This window comes from Homo sapiens, chromosome 12, assembly GCF_000001405.40.
Source record: "Homo sapiens chromosome 12, GRCh38.p14 Primary Assembly".
Taxonomy (NCBI): domain Eukaryota; kingdom Metazoa; phylum Chordata; class Mammalia; order Primates; family Hominidae; genus Homo; species Homo sapiens.
This window is the reverse complement of record NC_000012.12, coordinates 91977479-91994775: the sequence shown is the minus strand read 5'-3', so window position 1 is coordinate 91994775 and position 17297 is coordinate 91977479. Positions and strand designations below refer to the sequence as shown.

General features: G+C 38.5%; 1 long non-coding RNA gene across 5 annotated transcripts in view; it reads left to right on the top strand.

Moving 5' to 3' along the window:
* Positions 1–9800, top strand: part of LINC01619 (long intergenic non-protein coding RNA 1619) — a 157856-nt gene extending 148056 nt beyond the window's left edge. For 2 of the 5 annotated variants that reach the window (NR_046160.2, NR_046159.2), the window contains exons 2-6: positions 1247–1406; positions 4414–4488; positions 5583–5679; positions 7133–7220; positions 8079–9800. This is a non-coding gene — a long non-coding RNA (long intergenic non-protein coding RNA 1619). Of the gene's footprint in view, positions 1–1246; positions 1407–4413; positions 4489–5582; positions 5680–6981; positions 7244–8078 lie in introns of all 5 variants that reach the window. The other 3 variants (NR_132340.1, NR_132341.1, NR_132339.1) reach the window with 3 other exon arrangements.
* The last annotated feature ends 7497 nt before the right edge of the window (positions 9801–17297 follow it).

Genomic DNA, 17297 nt, shown 5'->3' with positions numbered 1-17297 from the left:
CGAAACAATTTCGGAATCACTCCCTATAGCCACGGAAATGATTTTAATTACCAATTCATCTGTTGGCAGACTCTTCTGGCAGATGTACCTGCAACTTGGAAAGATAACAAATGAACCAATTCCTTACTCCAGAGTTGACACTGGTAGTGCTTACTGAATTTGCTCTCAAAAAAGAATCCTGGGCAACAATACATCTGGCACTCTGCTCGAGGAATTTGTCATGTCATTGACATGTTCAGCCTCCATTGTCCACACCACCCTGACAGCAGGTCCTTTATATTTCAAAGAAATTGCAGCCTGAATTAATATAATTAGAATGTAACTGTTATTCACTGCAGAAACTCCTTATTTCCAGAAGTAAAGATCTGATAGCATGTCTGTACTTAAAATCTTTCCCATGATGGCTGGAGGGGAGCAAGCAGATAATAAAATGACAGAATAGATGCTATTTCACGGGCTTTTTAAAGTATTAACTAATGGAAATATAGGGGGAGAAGAAAACTGTTCTACCCTTGGCATGTATAAATGGAAACATCTTTTAAGTTTACTAGCCTTTATAGTACTTCTATAAAATATGTTCTGAAAAGTAACTAAACTCAGAGAAATAAATTAAATCAGAAAAATTAGCTATCTCCAAAAAATATGCAATGAAGCATGAAGTAGAGTGGCTAATTCATAGACAGAATTACAGATTTAAGAGATGGTTGAATAACTTTAGTCATTTTTCCCTGCTTCCCTTTGAACAGTTGATGTCACTAACTAGGCAACTGTCACCAAGTTGGTAACTTGAGTGCTGGATTTTTGAATTTTATTCTTTGTTAGCATTCTGTTTCTACAAATACATGATTACTGATATAGTGGAAACTGACATTGGCATTTTTCTTTTGAAAATAAGATTGATTCACATTCTTTTAAATAAGTTAATTTTCTCACTGGGAATGACTCATTTGAGGGGGAACAATGGCCTGGCATATCAATGTGTTGGCTGGTGCTTATGGCCTCTTCTCTGAAGAATATAATGTTTATCCTTGTACATGTTATAGACCGTTTGTGTCCTTCTGAAATTTATATGTTGAAGCCCTAATTCCCAGTGTAATGATATTTGGATATGCAAGCCTTTAGGTAATTAGATTTAGGAGCCTTGAGGGTGGAGCTCTCATGGTGGAATTAGTGTCCTTATAAGTAGAGGAAAAAAACATCAGAGTGCTCGCTCTCTCCTTCTCTCTCCCCTGTGCCCTGCCTCCAGACCTCTGACTATGTGAAGATACGGTGGGAAGATGACTGACCGCAAGACAGGAAGAGAGCCCTCACCGAGGAACCAAATTGGCCAGTATCTTGATTTTGGATTTCTCAACCTCAAGAACCATGAGAAATGAATGTCTGCTGTTCAAGCCACCCAGTCAATGGTATTTTGTTATGGCAGCCCCAGCTGACCAAGAGAGCGCATATGAATTTAATGAGCATTGAGAAAAGCTAATGTTTTTCATTTTTTCCCTTAGAAGCATCTATCGATCTTCATTTGAAATTATGTGTCAGAAACTGCAATAATAGAAGTAAAGAGAATGGGCTAGGTAATGTAAGAATAGGGCTAAGGTTATGTAAGTGAGGGAGAGTTTCGAGAGAGGAATTTCAGTAGCCTTTAAAATTTTAAATAAAATACGCTCTATAAACCAAATGCATTAGTTAAGGAGCTGTGGGCATCAGTTTCTCCTTATAAAGATTGCATATACCTTTTAGTTAACATCTTGGACAAGTCAGGAATGATTCCTTTCCTCCAGGGTGTCCTGTGGAATGTCTACCTTGTCTCCCTCAACATAGAGGAACTATCGACCATTTTCCATTAAATAGCCTAGAATTAGGTGTGTTTCAGAATCACGTGTATATATGTACATGGTGGTTGGATGTGGGTGGATTCGGAAGGACTTGTTAAGATGCCCATGCCTGAATTCCTCCCAGATCCACTAAATCAGAATTGTCAGCTGTGGTGCCCAAATTACCTAAGTTAAAAACCACTCCAAGCGCTTCTGATACATACCAGACTTGACATCCATAGACCAATGTTCTCATTCATTGATACACATATTCAAGTTTACTACCTAGGCAGATCTTTCTATAGGTTATATATGTGAGTTTAAAAATGGGTACATTTAATTTTTATAAATGGAAGTCCATTTAAGACATTTTGGGCCAATGGTTTTGAGGAGAGCTCATTAGCATACCAGCTGAGCTGCCCCATTCCCTCATTGCACACCTTCCTTCTGCCTTTGCCATAGGTTGCTTAGTTTCTCAGTCTGCCTGTCTGGTCTGAGTTAGAAAGAAAAATGGGCATCTCACAGTTCCTAGCAATTTATTTTGCAAAAGAATGCAGTAGAGATTTCTATTTTAATGTAAAAAAATCCTTTGAGTAAATAGTTTTCCCTCTCTCCAATATATTTTCTTATTATTCTGTATATTTAATAATGGGATTATATGTTATAAACACATGCTTAGACATCCAAATATATGCACAGATGGAAAATATCAAGCTTGCAGGAAAGGTCCATCCCCCAAACACAATTTTAAGGGGTTTTGCCTTTGTTTTCTCTAAGGAATACAAAAGTCAGACTTGAAAAAAAGGAGGTTTAGGGAATTCTGTCACTATTTTCCTAATTTCCAGCAAATGCTAATTCTGATGTTGTTTTTTTGATTTTTAGTGGCCTTTAGAGAATTCTTGGGGTTGAGGGTGGGTAGGAAGCGGATTGAGGATGGGGGAGAGTTCCTATCTGATGTCTGACCAATGAATTGTTAGATAAACTAGTCATGTAGAAAACAGCTTGATTTATCTAAGAGAGATAATAGTGACTCCCAGGATCCAGCCTGCCCTGTAACAACCCAGAGGACTTCTTTCCTGAGGTTTACAGAATACACTGATTGGTCAATCAACTAGATGTAGTAAATATGTAAAAATTATATTCCAAAAATTTTGTAAAAATAGTAAAATAAGTACATATTTTTGGAAGAGTATGTGGGGAAAAAGTAATGCAGAGGAAAAAAAAGAAGGGAGAAAATATGGGCCAAGGTGCTGCTTTCAGAATCAGACACATGTGGATTAGATTCCAGTGTTAGTTGTTGTATGCCCTTGGGTAGTTATGTCACATTTCTAAGCCAATGTTGTCATCTGTTAAATGGGAACAATGTCTCCCTCACATGGCTATGGTAAGGGTTTGCTAAAGTATTTATTTTACAGTCTGTAAAAGGATTCAGAAAAATGCTTGATATACAGTAGCTGCTAACACAATACATCTGAGATAATAGTATTACATTGCTGGCAGCAGAGAGTGGTAGCCACTAAGTATATTTTTTTCTGGACATGCAGTCCTGACTTTGAACCCCTTTTGGTTTGAGGCAGAATTACTGCTATTGGCATTTCTAGCACTAAGTCTACATGATATTTTAAAGAATTTGTTGAGAGCTCTTAAATTATTACTATTATTATCAAGAAATAGATTTGTTATGTCTGTTTTCTTGATTTATTAACTGAAATTCTGTAATCCTTGCCTTAAGCTTACAAGCGTTCTTAGTTTGATTTTTAAAATACCCTCAGAAACCATTAATGTTCACAAGAAATAAGAAATCTTTGCAATAATATTTCATTGTATCATCGTACTTTTTCTTTCCTGAAAAACCAATGAAGAATGGCAGTTTTATAGGTAAAACAGTAGTTAGCCTTTATATGGATGACATTTTCCCAAAAGCCTAGAAAAATTTCACATTTGCAGAAAAATACTCTGTTCCCATATTAAATCTGATTAAAATTCAAATCTATATTAACATCTCATAACTTTTTGAAAAAAGTGAATGCCACACTTAATGGAAAATGCTCACTGTCTGTCCTCACTGCTTTTGTGGGCTTCCTAGCAAGGCTGTACTGGGATCCAGGAGGGCTGGATCACAGCTACATCCTTGTTAAAACAGTCAACCGGCATGAATGTTGGCCTTTAGTTTTTCCTTCCTTTCCCCTCTCCCATCCCTACATTGTTTCAGCTGCCAGCTCCCTAATATTTTTTTCTGAAGCAAGGGAAAGGAAAGGGCAAAAATGACTTAGAAAGAATAACATTTCTTTCTATGGACTTAAATAGAACATTCAACGCAAAACATCCTGTGTTTTCTTTTAGTTGATGACACATTGACTGTAGGAATGAATGAACTAAAAACCAGGGCTTGATTTTCAAATGGGGGTTATTTTAGTTGCATACTACCTGATCAAGAGAAAGTTGTTCAACTATTTTAAATTATAACCTGTTGGTTTCTCCTCTGTACTCCTGATCTCCTTATCTTGCTGTGCGTTTCTTTTCTCCATTTTACATATCACCTTCTAACATGTGTTTATTATGTTTTTTGTTTATTTTCCCACTCTCCTGGCCATGATGGAAGTCCATGAGAGCAAGCATCTTTGTCCGTTTGGCTCACTGTTGGATTCCCTGTTTTAAAAATATCACCCGGCCCAGCGTAGGTGCTCAATAAATATTTGCAGCATGAATTAATGAAATAGTTTCTTTCTCAGTGTCTTTTTCTATACAATTATGCAGAATATAACTGGTACAAATATGGTACAAAAACATCTTATAAATGTGCGCTTATACCTAGTAGATACATTTGAAAGTACAGCTCTGCTGGGAGTGTACATATCTTAGTTGGTGAAGAAGAGATAATAAAAGAGTTAGATTAAAAAAAAAGCACTTTGTCACTCTCTATTCTCTTATTTACTCTGCTTTATTTTTCTTTGAACCCTGAATCTTAATACCCAACATAATATATTTATTTGCTGATTGTCTACTTCCCCATACTAGAATGTAAGCTTTTTAAGGACAGGATCTTGTGTGTTTTGCTCACTACTATAGCCCCATTCCTTGGACTCATGCCTGATACAGAGTAAGCACCCAATACATATTTATTGAATGAATAAATGTATGTTTGAATGAGTGTGTTTGTTTCAGACTGTATTCATGTCTGGCTCTTGCTCTATATACAGACTCTTTGGAATGATCGTTCACTAAGAGCTTGGTACTGTTGAGGTGGATGATGGGTGGGGAGATAAAGGGAAGAAAATGACCAAGATTATACTAGTATTTTTAAATTTTTTTATTAATTGTGAAAAAGATGTCTCAATCATTATATATGTAGTATAGTGTGAGCCTAGGGACGGTGGTTTGGGTCCTGAAACATCCACCTATTTTCAGAATGAACTAAAATAATTTCTTAGTTTCTTGATGTCACATTTTCATTATTTGTAAAATTAAAACAATGTTACCTTACCCAGGGCTATAATGGGAGAATAGAGAGGCACTGACACATCGAAGTTGGTCAGTAAATATTAGCTATCATCATCATCATCATCATCATCATTATCAACATCATCATCCAAGGGTTGGTGAACTATAGCTGGTGGGCCAAATCTCTCCTGTGGTCTGCTTTTATAAATAAAGTTTTACTGAACACAGTGTATTAATTTTCTTATTGTCTCTGGCTGCTTTTACATTACAACAACAGAATTGAGTCATGCCTTGCAAATCCTAAAATATTTGCCCTCTCATCCTTGATAGAAAAAGTTTGGAAACCTTCATCTAGAAAGTGGTCTAGCAAAGTGTGGTCCATGGATGAGTTTGATCTGCAAACTGCTTGTTATTGGTTCATGACAAGGTGAGTACAGAAACTGTGAATAATTATTTAGAAACTTATATAACAATTTAAGAATGCTAGTGACTTCTAAGTGCATTATTTTGACATCTAAGTGCATGATTTTGGTTTATACAAAAGTGTTGATTTGTGACTGATTGGAAATTTAAGAAAAAGAAAACCTGGCCTTTTCCACTGGAATAGAGTCGGGTGTTTTGTAATGGGATTTTGTTGTATTGGTGACTTAGTAAGACATATTCACGTGGCTTCAGATGGAAACATCTGGGGGCCCATCAGGTGGGAGTGACAAACATGTCCTGAGATTGCAATTGACCTGGGAAGGTTGATGAGCATGCACATTAATAACGTCACACAAATGGATTTTCTATGCAGATGGGTGGGCCAGCCACAGTTCACTTATCAGCTAATACAGTTGTAATGTGTTGCTTCATATCTGAGAGAAGGCAGCACCTTAGGATATTATGTGTGTCTCACTTACATATATAAATGAATTCCCTTTTGAGGTAGATGTATTTTAGTCAATAAGTCATCTTCTCTCAATAGTAAGCCAACAACTTTCCTGGAAATCTAGCAAAACAACAGTTCTATGACCAGCCTTATGTTTTGTTGCATGTGTGCATAAAAAATGCAGATTGACTCTTTCCTTTTCTGTTTTAGAATTGGTTCCAAACAGTAAAGCCGCCAGAAAAAACAGACAAACTCTTAGGAACAACAATGCCCATTATGTGTGGAGTAGAAGCTGCCAGACTTTGATTACTGGCCAGAGATTAACCCCTTTGGTGTCTTAGGGGGGAAAATGCCAAGTCTGAATCCAGACATTTCCAGGATTTTACAGTCATTCATGGTATGAGACCAGGCGATTTATAATGACTTGTGCAAAAAAAAAAAGACTATTGGGAGAAGGAAGTGCAAGTCAAAGGCCACGGCTCCTTGCTTCCTGAATTCTGCCATGACTAATTCCAGCAAGCGGACATAGACCTGATCACCTCTGCTTTTCCCTTTGCTAGCCTGCCTGGTCATGGATGAGAAGCACGCTGCTCTTGCTACCTTCATGTGGTGGTTTGGGTCCTGAAACATCCACCTATTTTCAGAATAAACTAAAATAATTTCTTAATTTCTTGAGGGCACATTTGCATTATTTGTAAAATTTAAACAATGTTACCTAACCCAGGGCTACAGTGGGAGAGTAGAGAGGGATTGACACATAGAAGTTGGTCAGTAAATGTTAGCTATCATCGTCATCATTATCATCATTATCAACATCATCATCCAAGGGTTGAATGATGTTTTTGTGTTTTTGTCCAGGTGTCAGAAGGAGGCTGGCAAATTTGGCACTCACAGAGGGAAACCTATGTGCTTCGTGAGGTCATTGCTTAGAGTACAACTGCTACCAAGAACATTCCCTGCAAACTCTTTTGTGATCAGTTTCTTCCCTTCTCTCATATACCCTCTGCAGGTCTACCAATTGCATTTTGAGAGCTCAGATAAGCAGAGAGCAATGCAATTTGTCACAGAAGGATGATTATGTATATGCACTGTCATGTGTATGTATGTGTATGTATATACGGTATGTGTATATATGCATATGTATATACAGTATGTGTATTTCATTTGTTCTTTTATCTTATCCTTCAATATGTATTTATTGATAATTTATTATGAGAGGCTGAGAATACCAAGTTAATTATAATTTATTATAATAATAGCTACCATTTATCAAGAACATATTGCATATCAACATTATGCTAAATATTTTATATACATATATTTTAATGCATTTAGTCACTTAAAAAACTTTATGAAATAGCCCCATTTTAGACATTAGTAAACCGAGTTCCAGAAAACTCAAGGGCACGCAGCTAGTTAATGTTAGAGCTAGGATCCGCATTCAGATCTGTTTGATGCAAAACCCATTCTCTTAATCACTTTGTTAAATTGCCTTCCCAAAGATGAATAACATGATACAAAGGCATTTACCTACTTTCTTGGATTCACAATCTGGTTGGCAAGAAAGGCATATGATGCAGAACATAAAAGGCTATAATACAGCTATGTACAAAATACCATGATTAACTTGTTCTCTTGCGGGGTGGGAGAAGGTGGAAGAGGGTAGAGGAAGGCCTCATAGGGCAAGTTGTGCTTGAGCTATGCCTCTGGGGTATGGGATACTCACACAGCAGAGAGAGAAAAGGTGGAGGCTGGAGAGGAGAGAGAGAGAGAGAGAAAGGGGGGGTGGGAAGGAGGGAGAGAGAGATTTCAGCTGGGTGTGACTTTGTTTTGTAGGATGAGACGTAGACTTGTTCAGGTGCAAAGAGACATCTGGAACTAGTTAGTGGGAAGTTCTTCAAGGCTGTTTCTCCACTGAACAAGCCCATATATTTTTCCTCTTTGTTCTCCTTTAGCTATTTCCATGCCTAACTCAAAGGAGACACAAGGAGAAAGTGAGCTCAGCCTGGATAAATTGGAGATTGTGATGACTTCTAGGAAGCCTCAGGAAAGAGAAACAAAGACAACACTGGCCTGCTGCTCTCTGCAATGGTGGGACCCTTGTGGGATAACTGTTTTAGGAATGAAGGTGTCTACCCTCTCTAGAAATGAAAATGCAAGTTTGGCTGTGGTTAAGTATTGGATGGAGGCAAAAAGAAACTGACATATTTTCTTCTTTTCAATTGTTTGATTCACCCTGAAGGGCATGGCTGCTTAATTTTTTTCTCCAGAGATAGGTGGACAGATAAAGACAGGAAAGTAACATCCACAGACTGCCCTCTGTGAAGGTGACAGTGATGAAAGGAATGCTTGATCTGAACACTGGTAAATAAAGTGACCGCATATTTCCCTAGCCAGGAGAGCAATCTGGCTCAAAAGAAACGAGAACAATGACATTACTGCCAGGCTGCTCCTAAGCCTTTGGCTATTCTGTTCAGTGCACAAAAAAAAGCAGTGAACATAGCTGTGACCTGCCTTGTTGGTAGTATCACAATTCTTTGGGGCTCCACTTTAAGAAATTGAGACCTACCTACCTTAATCCTTGGGGGGTTAAGCTTTCAGACTGGAATGATAACTGAACTATTCATTTGCAGTAATTCTGGGTTTTGTGCATATTTTAAAAAGGAATACCGGGCTTGCCTATATTCATTACAACGTCCTCCCAGCTTTCAAATCTTCCAATACAATGCCTCTTCTCTAGTCTTTTAAGCACATCCTGTGACTGGATATGATTATGGGAGATTTACATGCATCCTTGTCTATTGTATCAAAAGATCAGGGAATAAAATGCCCATCATTAAAACCCCAAAGTGATTGGATTGGCATGAGGAATGGGGATGGGGCTGGCATGGAAGAGAGGGTTCTGACTCTGAGATTTCATGAAATGCAAAACAATAGGACAGCTGCTCTTCCATAAACAGATTATTATTATTATTTCTACCTAGACAGCTTGATAGCAGCCATTATCTTCTTTCTGGGTGTCTTATCAAGTTCCGGCTGTGTGCAGCATGGGTGATAAGGAAAGAGAAATGTCACCCATGGGATTGCCAAGGATTATTTCTATGCACTGCTGTTCAGCAACAGCCAATCTCTCAGAACTGAGAAGAAGTCCTATTGTTCACGCTGGGCAGTTGCTATTCTGACTATCCCAAGAGAGCAGAAAAGGGATGTAGTTGCCATTGTGCAAAAGATTGATATTTCATTACTCTCAGCTAAAGTTCTGAAAAGCAGAATCATCATGAAATATCTTTGAAGAGAGAAAAGACAAGGGAAGAAAAGAAGAACGAAATGAGTTCAGAGCTTTTTAGAACTGTGAGGGAGTGCGAAAAAAGAAAGGTGTAATACTTTCAAACAGTGGAAGTTAAAATGCCAGGCGTGTAAGCCTCAGTGAAATTGAGCAGCATCACGTCACCACGACTTGTGGTCCAGCTGTTTATTGCAAAGACTCCATCCTGCGTTACTCATCAGAAAATAGTTAACTTTGTATCTGGCATTATTTTAATTAAAAAAAAAGTTAACTTACTAGATTTCTGTTTGTCTGTGTTTCATACAAGGTTCTTGAATGAAAATAATCTGTTGATATTTAACATTTTTCCTTTCCTTCTCAATGAGAAAATAAATGTTTTATTATACATGCAGATGTGCCAGCTAAATATTTCAGGAAAAAAAAAATCTCTTCGTCGTTTTGTTCCCGTATCTCAGCTTTCCAAACTTATATCTTCCCAGAGAAAAGACTGCATTAGAAAAAAATTAAAACTAAAGTGTATGACTAACCTGTAGTGTATTCATAGAGTATTCCCCCCAAAGTGTTCTGAGTGCTTTAGTCTTCTTTATACATGGTTTTAGGGTCATGCTGATGTTATAATGTAAGCTGCTTGGAAGTCAGCCAAGTCAAATTTTTCCAACATTTTAAATCACTATTCTGAAACTGGAATTTCAAATGAATAAAATGCTTTGCTCTTAAACCAACGACTTCAGAAATGAGATAGATCCTAGTCAGGAATTATTACAACGGGAAGTGAGAGGAGGTTGGGAAGGTAAAGGGCAAAAGGAGGGCATAGAGGGAGAAAGGAGGATGCAGGAAAAGAGGAAGGAGCTTTGACTCCCCTGTGACACGTGAGCCCCAGGAGGGCAAGAGCCTTCCCTTTAGGTTTGTGCAACACCTCATATACAGTAAGCACTCAGGGGATATTTGTTAAATGAATTAGTGAGAGGGGCATAGAAAAAAAGGTTTTGGTATTAAGATATGCAACGGAATATTCCCTTAACGAAATACATTATTTTAGTTTTTCAGCCCTTAAGCATTTACCGGGAAACGTAGAGATTCTCCAACTTTAATACACATATTAATTACCTGAGAGCCTTGTAAAAAAAAAATCCAGATTCTGATTCAGTAGGCCTGGGATAGGCTGAGAGATTCTGCATTTCTATGAAGCTCCCAAGGGATGCAGATGCTACTGGCTCATGGAATACGCTCTGAATAACAATGTGTTAGAGTAGTGCATGGGGTACTGGGCTGGGGGTCATGAGCTCTGAGTTCTAATCTCTGACATGAACCACCTGTGCTTTCAAGCCAGGTGATTAGCTTTCCTAGTCTCAGTCTCCCCATGTAGCTAATGACTGGTTGGATCTACATAATTTCTAGGGTTCTTACAGCCTTAATATTTTGAAAGTTAAAAAGAAAAGAAAGGATTTAGAGAATGCCCAGTTTAACTCTGTCTCTTGAAATCCTGGGGAGGCAAAATCACTTCCGTCCAAAGTTGCACAGGGGATTTGTCCTGTGTGAATTGTGCTACAGCTGATTCCCTGGTTTCTAGTACAGTAATTTTTCTACTCCCATTTCTTTTGTCATTATTATTTTTTGTGGAATACTTAGAATTTGTCTGATGCTATGCTAGGTGCTGGGAATACAAAGATGCGTTAGAAATACATTATTATAATTTATTATCAAATTCCTTGCTTGAGTAACGTGCTGAAGATGACAACTAATCCCTGCAAATGTGTAACATGTGTGCTGATATCAGGGTTCCCCCTTCCGTGATATAATAATGGCTACAGTAGAATGCTTGCAACGATGACCCGAATTCTCCAATTCTCCCCATATCCATCCATTCCCTTTTCTATGTGATTTTGCAGCTTATCATATCAAAAAGTGGAATTTCTTTCCCCAGCCCTTGACTCTGGAATGGTCTGTGATTTGCTTTTACCAAGAGAATGCAGTGGAAGGAACAACATGCCAGCTCTACACCCCGGTCTGAAGAGGCCATACCCACTTTTGTTACTTCTCTCAGGATCCTGCTGCTGCCGTAAGAACAAGCCTGGGGTAACCTCCTGGAGGATGAAAGTTCACAAGTGACCTACCGTCCCAGAGGAGGACAACTTAGAGCAGCCTACACCTAGCCATCCACAGATATGTGTGAAAGTCCAACCAAGAGCAACAGAGCTGCTTACTCAACCCACAGCTGACCACCGATGCACAAGTGAGCTCAGATGAGGCCAGAACTGCTCAGCTGAGCCATAAACTTGTGAGCAATAATAAACTTGTGAAGCCACTTAGTTTTGGGAGGCTTTGTTTTGCAGCATAGCTAAGTGGTATGACGGCCTTCTGGATGCCAAACTTTATCTGAAATAAATGGTTCTAGTTTGAGTTCTCCCCGGAAGATAGTATGTGAGATGTTGTGGGAGTGGCATGGGCTTTGCTGCTTCTTCCATACTTCTGAGATGCTTTTCACTTAAAAAGGAGGGGAGCTAGCTCATGCTATTTTTACTTTACTGTTAAAAGAAAGATATGGCCAGTGAAGTTAAGTTTAGAGATTAAAGCTCAAGGTAACACACATGTATATCCCTTGTTTTGAAAGAAGCACAAAAGAGCCATGATCTGAGATCACAAAAGAAAATGAATGCTTTAGTCTTGGCTTTGCCATGTATGTTATCTTGAGCTTCAGAGTTATTCTTGGTAAACAAATATAACTATGACTGCCTGCCTGCCTTCCTTCAGAGATAGTATGAGAGTGAACAGATATAATAAATATAAAAATGTCCTGTAAACTCTTAAGTGGTACACAAATATAACTTCTTTTGAACATTGTACTATATTTTGTTTTCACATAATAGTATCTAGTACTTATTGAGAACTCATAACTCCCTTTATAAGTATAATAATAGCTAAGACATATACATTTTATAGTTTTCAGGTTGCTTTTATATAAATTATCTCTCCTTGATTCTTCAATGGTGCCCTGAAAAACATATTTTTATTTTCTCATTTTGCAGTTGCAGAACCTCTGTTGTCTTCTATGTGATGGGATTTATAAAGCTGAGGTAATGGGCAGGTTTTGCTAAGATAGGAGCCCCATCATGTTGGGGTTTTCTTTAACGGTCAAACTTGGTGAATAAATCAGATCTCTGTCTTTTATAATCTTGTTTAAACTCAATCTAGCATTGTAATTTTTAAATGGATCCCAATTCTTCTCATAACAGTTATTGTCTATGAGGTGTCATTATTTTCTCCCCCAAGATATATATTTTTTTAATTTTTACTTTTATTTTTGATACAGGCGATACATGTGGAGGTTTGTTACATGGGAATTTTGTGTGATGCTGAGTACCCAACAGGTAGTTTTTTACCCTTTTTTCCTTTTTTCCTACCCCCTCAGAAGTCCATGGTGTCTATTCTCATATTTGTGTTCATGTGTGCTCATTGTTTGGCTCCCGCTTGTAAGTGAGAACATGCAATATTCGGCTTTCTGTTTCTTCATTAATTTGCTTAGGATTATGGCCTCCAATTGCATCCATGTTGCAGCAAAGGGCACGATTTCATTTTTTTGGCTGCATAGTATTCCTTGGTGTATATGTACCACCTTTTATTTATTCAGTCTGCCATTGATGGGAACCTGGGTTGATTCCAAGTTTTTGCTATTGTGAATAGCACAGCAGTGAACATACAGTAATCAAAACAGCATGGTACTGGTACAAAAACAGACGTACGGACCAATAGAACAGAATAGAAAACTCAGAAATAAAGCCACACACCTATAACGATTTGTCTTCGACGAGACCAACAAAAACAATGGGGAAAGGACTCATTAATCAATAAATGGTTCTGGGGTATTGGCTAGCCCTATGCAGAAGATTGAAGCTGGACCCCTACCTTTTATCATGTAAAAAAATCAACTCAAAATGGATCAAAGATTTATACATAAGATCTCAAAATATAAAAATCCTAGAAGACAACTTAGGAAATACTCTTCTTGATATTGGCCTTGGCAAATAATTTTTGGCTAAGTTTTCAGAAGCAATTGCAACAAAAACAAAAATTGACAAGTGGGACTTAGTTAAACTAAAGAGCTTCTGCACAGCAAAAGAAACTATCGGCAGAGTAAACAGACAACCTATAGAGTGGGAGAAGATATTCACAAACTATGCATCTGAAAAAGGCCTAATACGTAGAATCTATAGGGAACTTAAATCAACAAGCAAAAAACAAATTAACCCCATTAAACAATGGGCAAATGATATGAACAGACATTTATCAAAAGAAGACATACAAGAACCCATGAATATATGAAAAAAGCTAATCATTACTCATCATCAGAGAAATGCAAATCAAACCACAATGAGGTACCATCTCACACCAGTCAGAATGCTATTATTAAAAAGTCAAAAAACAACAGATGCTGGCGAGGCTGCAGAGAAAAGGGATGCTCATACACTGTTGGTGGGAATGTAAGTTAGTTCAGCCATTATGGAAATCAGTTTGGAGTCTTCTCAAAGTGCTTAAAGCAGAGCTACCATTTGACCCAGCAATCCCATTACTGGTTTATAGCCAAAGAAAATAAATCATTCTATCAAAACATTTTTAAAATGAGAAAAAGATAATGGTTACTCTGAAATTGCATGTTGGCTTGGTATTTATATTCTTTTTTGTTTGTTTGTTTTGTTTTGTTTCCAGAGAGCCAGATTTTCATATAATTTATATTCTTAAGCAATCAGAATTTTTATTTGATGATGTTAATGGACTAAACATATAATTAAATTATTATCATCAGAGGCTTGAGCCAAGAAGTTTTATTTATAAGTATGCAGTTGCCTTGGCTGATGATATAGAGACTGGGCTTGGGCAATTTTTATCTGAAATATGTAAAATGGCCTAAGTATTTGGTGAATATTGTCTGGCCCCTGACCAGTGATTTAAATTTCATCCAACAGTCAAAATAAGTCTGCAAGCAGAACATTTCCTCTGTTCTACTTAATTTTAAGAGTTGTGCTTATTTTGAGCCTATCTTATAACTGCGCCAGTGGCAAAACATTTTGGTCGTGTGAAAGACAGTTGCTATTTTGACAATACTATAATAGCTGCCATTGATCAAGAGCTTACTACATGAGAGCCAGCATTCTAAGTGTCTTACTCCCTTAAGTCCTTTAATTCTCATAAGAGCCCATTGAGATGGGGTCTATTATTATTATTATCCCCATTTAACAGACAAGGGAACCGAGTCACAGAAACATCAAATAAATTGCTCAAAGTCACACAGCTAGTAAATGCCAGAGGTGGATTTAGCTCAGGTAATTTGAGTAGAAAATTTTATACTATATAGCACTATTTTACTTGTACTCTCAGCCTTTCTTTAAGTCAGATATCAAGAAAAATTATCTGTATTTGTCTTGCCATAGCAGTGCTGCATCATAAAAAATTGTATATTTTCACAAGTGGTCTAGGTACTATGACCTCCCTTACAGAAATCTAGTAATCTAATAATCAATCTCCAGTAAGCTATTTCCTTGTGTATTAGACATATCAAAGCATGTAAAAGAAATAGGAGAAGTAATTCCTTTTAATGGACCTGAAGATTTACAAGAGTAGATGATCTTTTGGGGAGGTTAAAAGGATAGAGTTGGTTCTATAAGGTCTTAAGTTCATATTGGAGAGGCAATTGATAGTGACCCTTGAATTTACTTCATTTTAAGCCATTATCATCCAGATTTTAGCTAGGTCTTTATCTCAGTTTGTTTTGTGCTATTTTAAAAGAATATTGGAGGTTGGGTAATTTATAAAGAACAGACATTTATTTCTCATACTTCTGGAGGCTGGCAAGTCTAAAATGATTAGGGTGCCAGCAGGTTGGATGTCTGATAAGGGTTCAGTCTTCATTTCCATGATAGTAATTTTTTTTTTTTTTTTTTTTTTTTTTTTTTTTTGAGACAGGGTCTCACTCTGTCACCCAGGCTGGAGTGCAGTGGTGTGATCTGGGCTTACTGCAGTCTTCACCTCCCAGGCTCAAGTGACTCTCCTGCCTCAGCCTCCTGAGTAACTGGGACAACACACAGATGCCACCATGTCTGGCTACTATTTGTTATTTTTTTGTAGAGACGGGGTTTCACCATGTTGGCCAGGCTGGTCTCGAACTCCTGAGCTCAAGTGATCCACATGCCTCAGCCTCCCAAAGTGCTGGGATTACAGGCGTGAGCCACTACACCCAGCCACCATGATGACGCTTTGAATGCTGCATCCTGTGTGTGTGCGTGTGCGCGTGCGTGTGTGTGTGCACATATGTGTGTGCGTCTGCCTGTGTGTGCGTGTGTGTATGTGTGTGTGGATGGGGGAGGAATGCTGTTCTTTGCACGGCAGAAGAGCAGAAGCGGATGAACCCACTCCTGAAAGCCATTTTTATTGCAGAATGAATTTATTCACTAGGGCAGAGCCCTCATGACATAAACAACTTCCATTATGCCCTACCTCCCAACACTGTTGCATTGGGGATTAAGTTTCCAACACGAGTTTTGGAGGGGACAAACATTCAAATCATAGCAGTCTGTCACTGCTTGAGACACATGTAGGCTTGCCTCTAATTCCAATTTTTCAACTTGAGAGAGCTGTAGACCCCTCTACCTATCTCCCAGGACTCATAATCTTACTGTCCTCATCTCATGGTAGATAAGTTGTCTCTGTTTGTCACCACATTCACTCAGATGTAGAACCCAATCCTTTCACACATTTGCACAAGAAATCTAATCTACATTGATTATGAATTAGATTATGTGCCACAAAAATTTATATGGTGAGGTCCTAACCCCTAGTATCTCAGAATGTGACCCTATTTGGAAATAGAGTTGTTGCAGATATAAATAGTTAAGATGAGGTCATACTGGGTTAATGTGGGCCTCTAAACCAGTATGACTGTTGCCTTTATACAAAGAGGAAATATGAACACAGACACAGGGAGAACGCCACGGGAAGATGAAGCAGAGATCAGTGATGTGTTTATACAGCAAGGAATATCAAAGATTGCAGGGAAGCCATCAGATGCTAAAAGACAGGCATGAAACACATCCTTCCTTCACCACCCTCAGAAAGACCCCACCCTGCCAACACTTTGATCTTGAACTTTTAACCTCCAGAACTGTGGCAATACATTTTTGTTGTTGAAGCCATTCAGTTTGTGGTACTTTGCTATGGCAGCCCTAACAAATAAATACAATGTCTAACTTTTCCCACGTTGGGTAGATTTTTTTTTTTTTTTTTTTTGAGACGGAGTCTCGCTCTGTCGCCCAGGCCGGACTGCGGACTGCAGTGGCGCAATCTCGGCTCACTGCAAGCTCCGCTTCCCGGGTTCACGCCATTCTCCTGCCTCAGCCTCCCGAGTAGCTGGGACTACAGGCGCCTGCCACCGCGCCCGGCTAATTTTTTGTATTTTTAGTAGAGACGGGGTTTCACCTTGTTAGCCAGGATGGTCTCGATCTCCTGACCTCATGATCCACCCGCCTCGGCCTCCCAAAGTGCTGGGATTACAGGCGTGAGCCACCGCGCCCGGCCAGATTTTACTGAAGACATTTGCGGGAAGGCATGTCACAGGGAGAAACACATCACACAGCCCACAGCACTCCCTCAGTTAAATTGCCCCACATCTCCCTTCACTCTCTCTTCTCATCTCCTCCATCCTGGATTAACCCCCAAATATTCATATTTAAATTTATCTCACTGTTTTTCCAGAGTAGCTTTTCTCTTCCATTGAAGTTGTGACTGCAACCAATACCCATGTCCTTGGGTTCTGCTTCTAGCACAGACATTAATCAAACAACACATCCGACACAGTCTATTCACTGAGAGAGATGCCTGTGCCAAATGTCACAGTAAA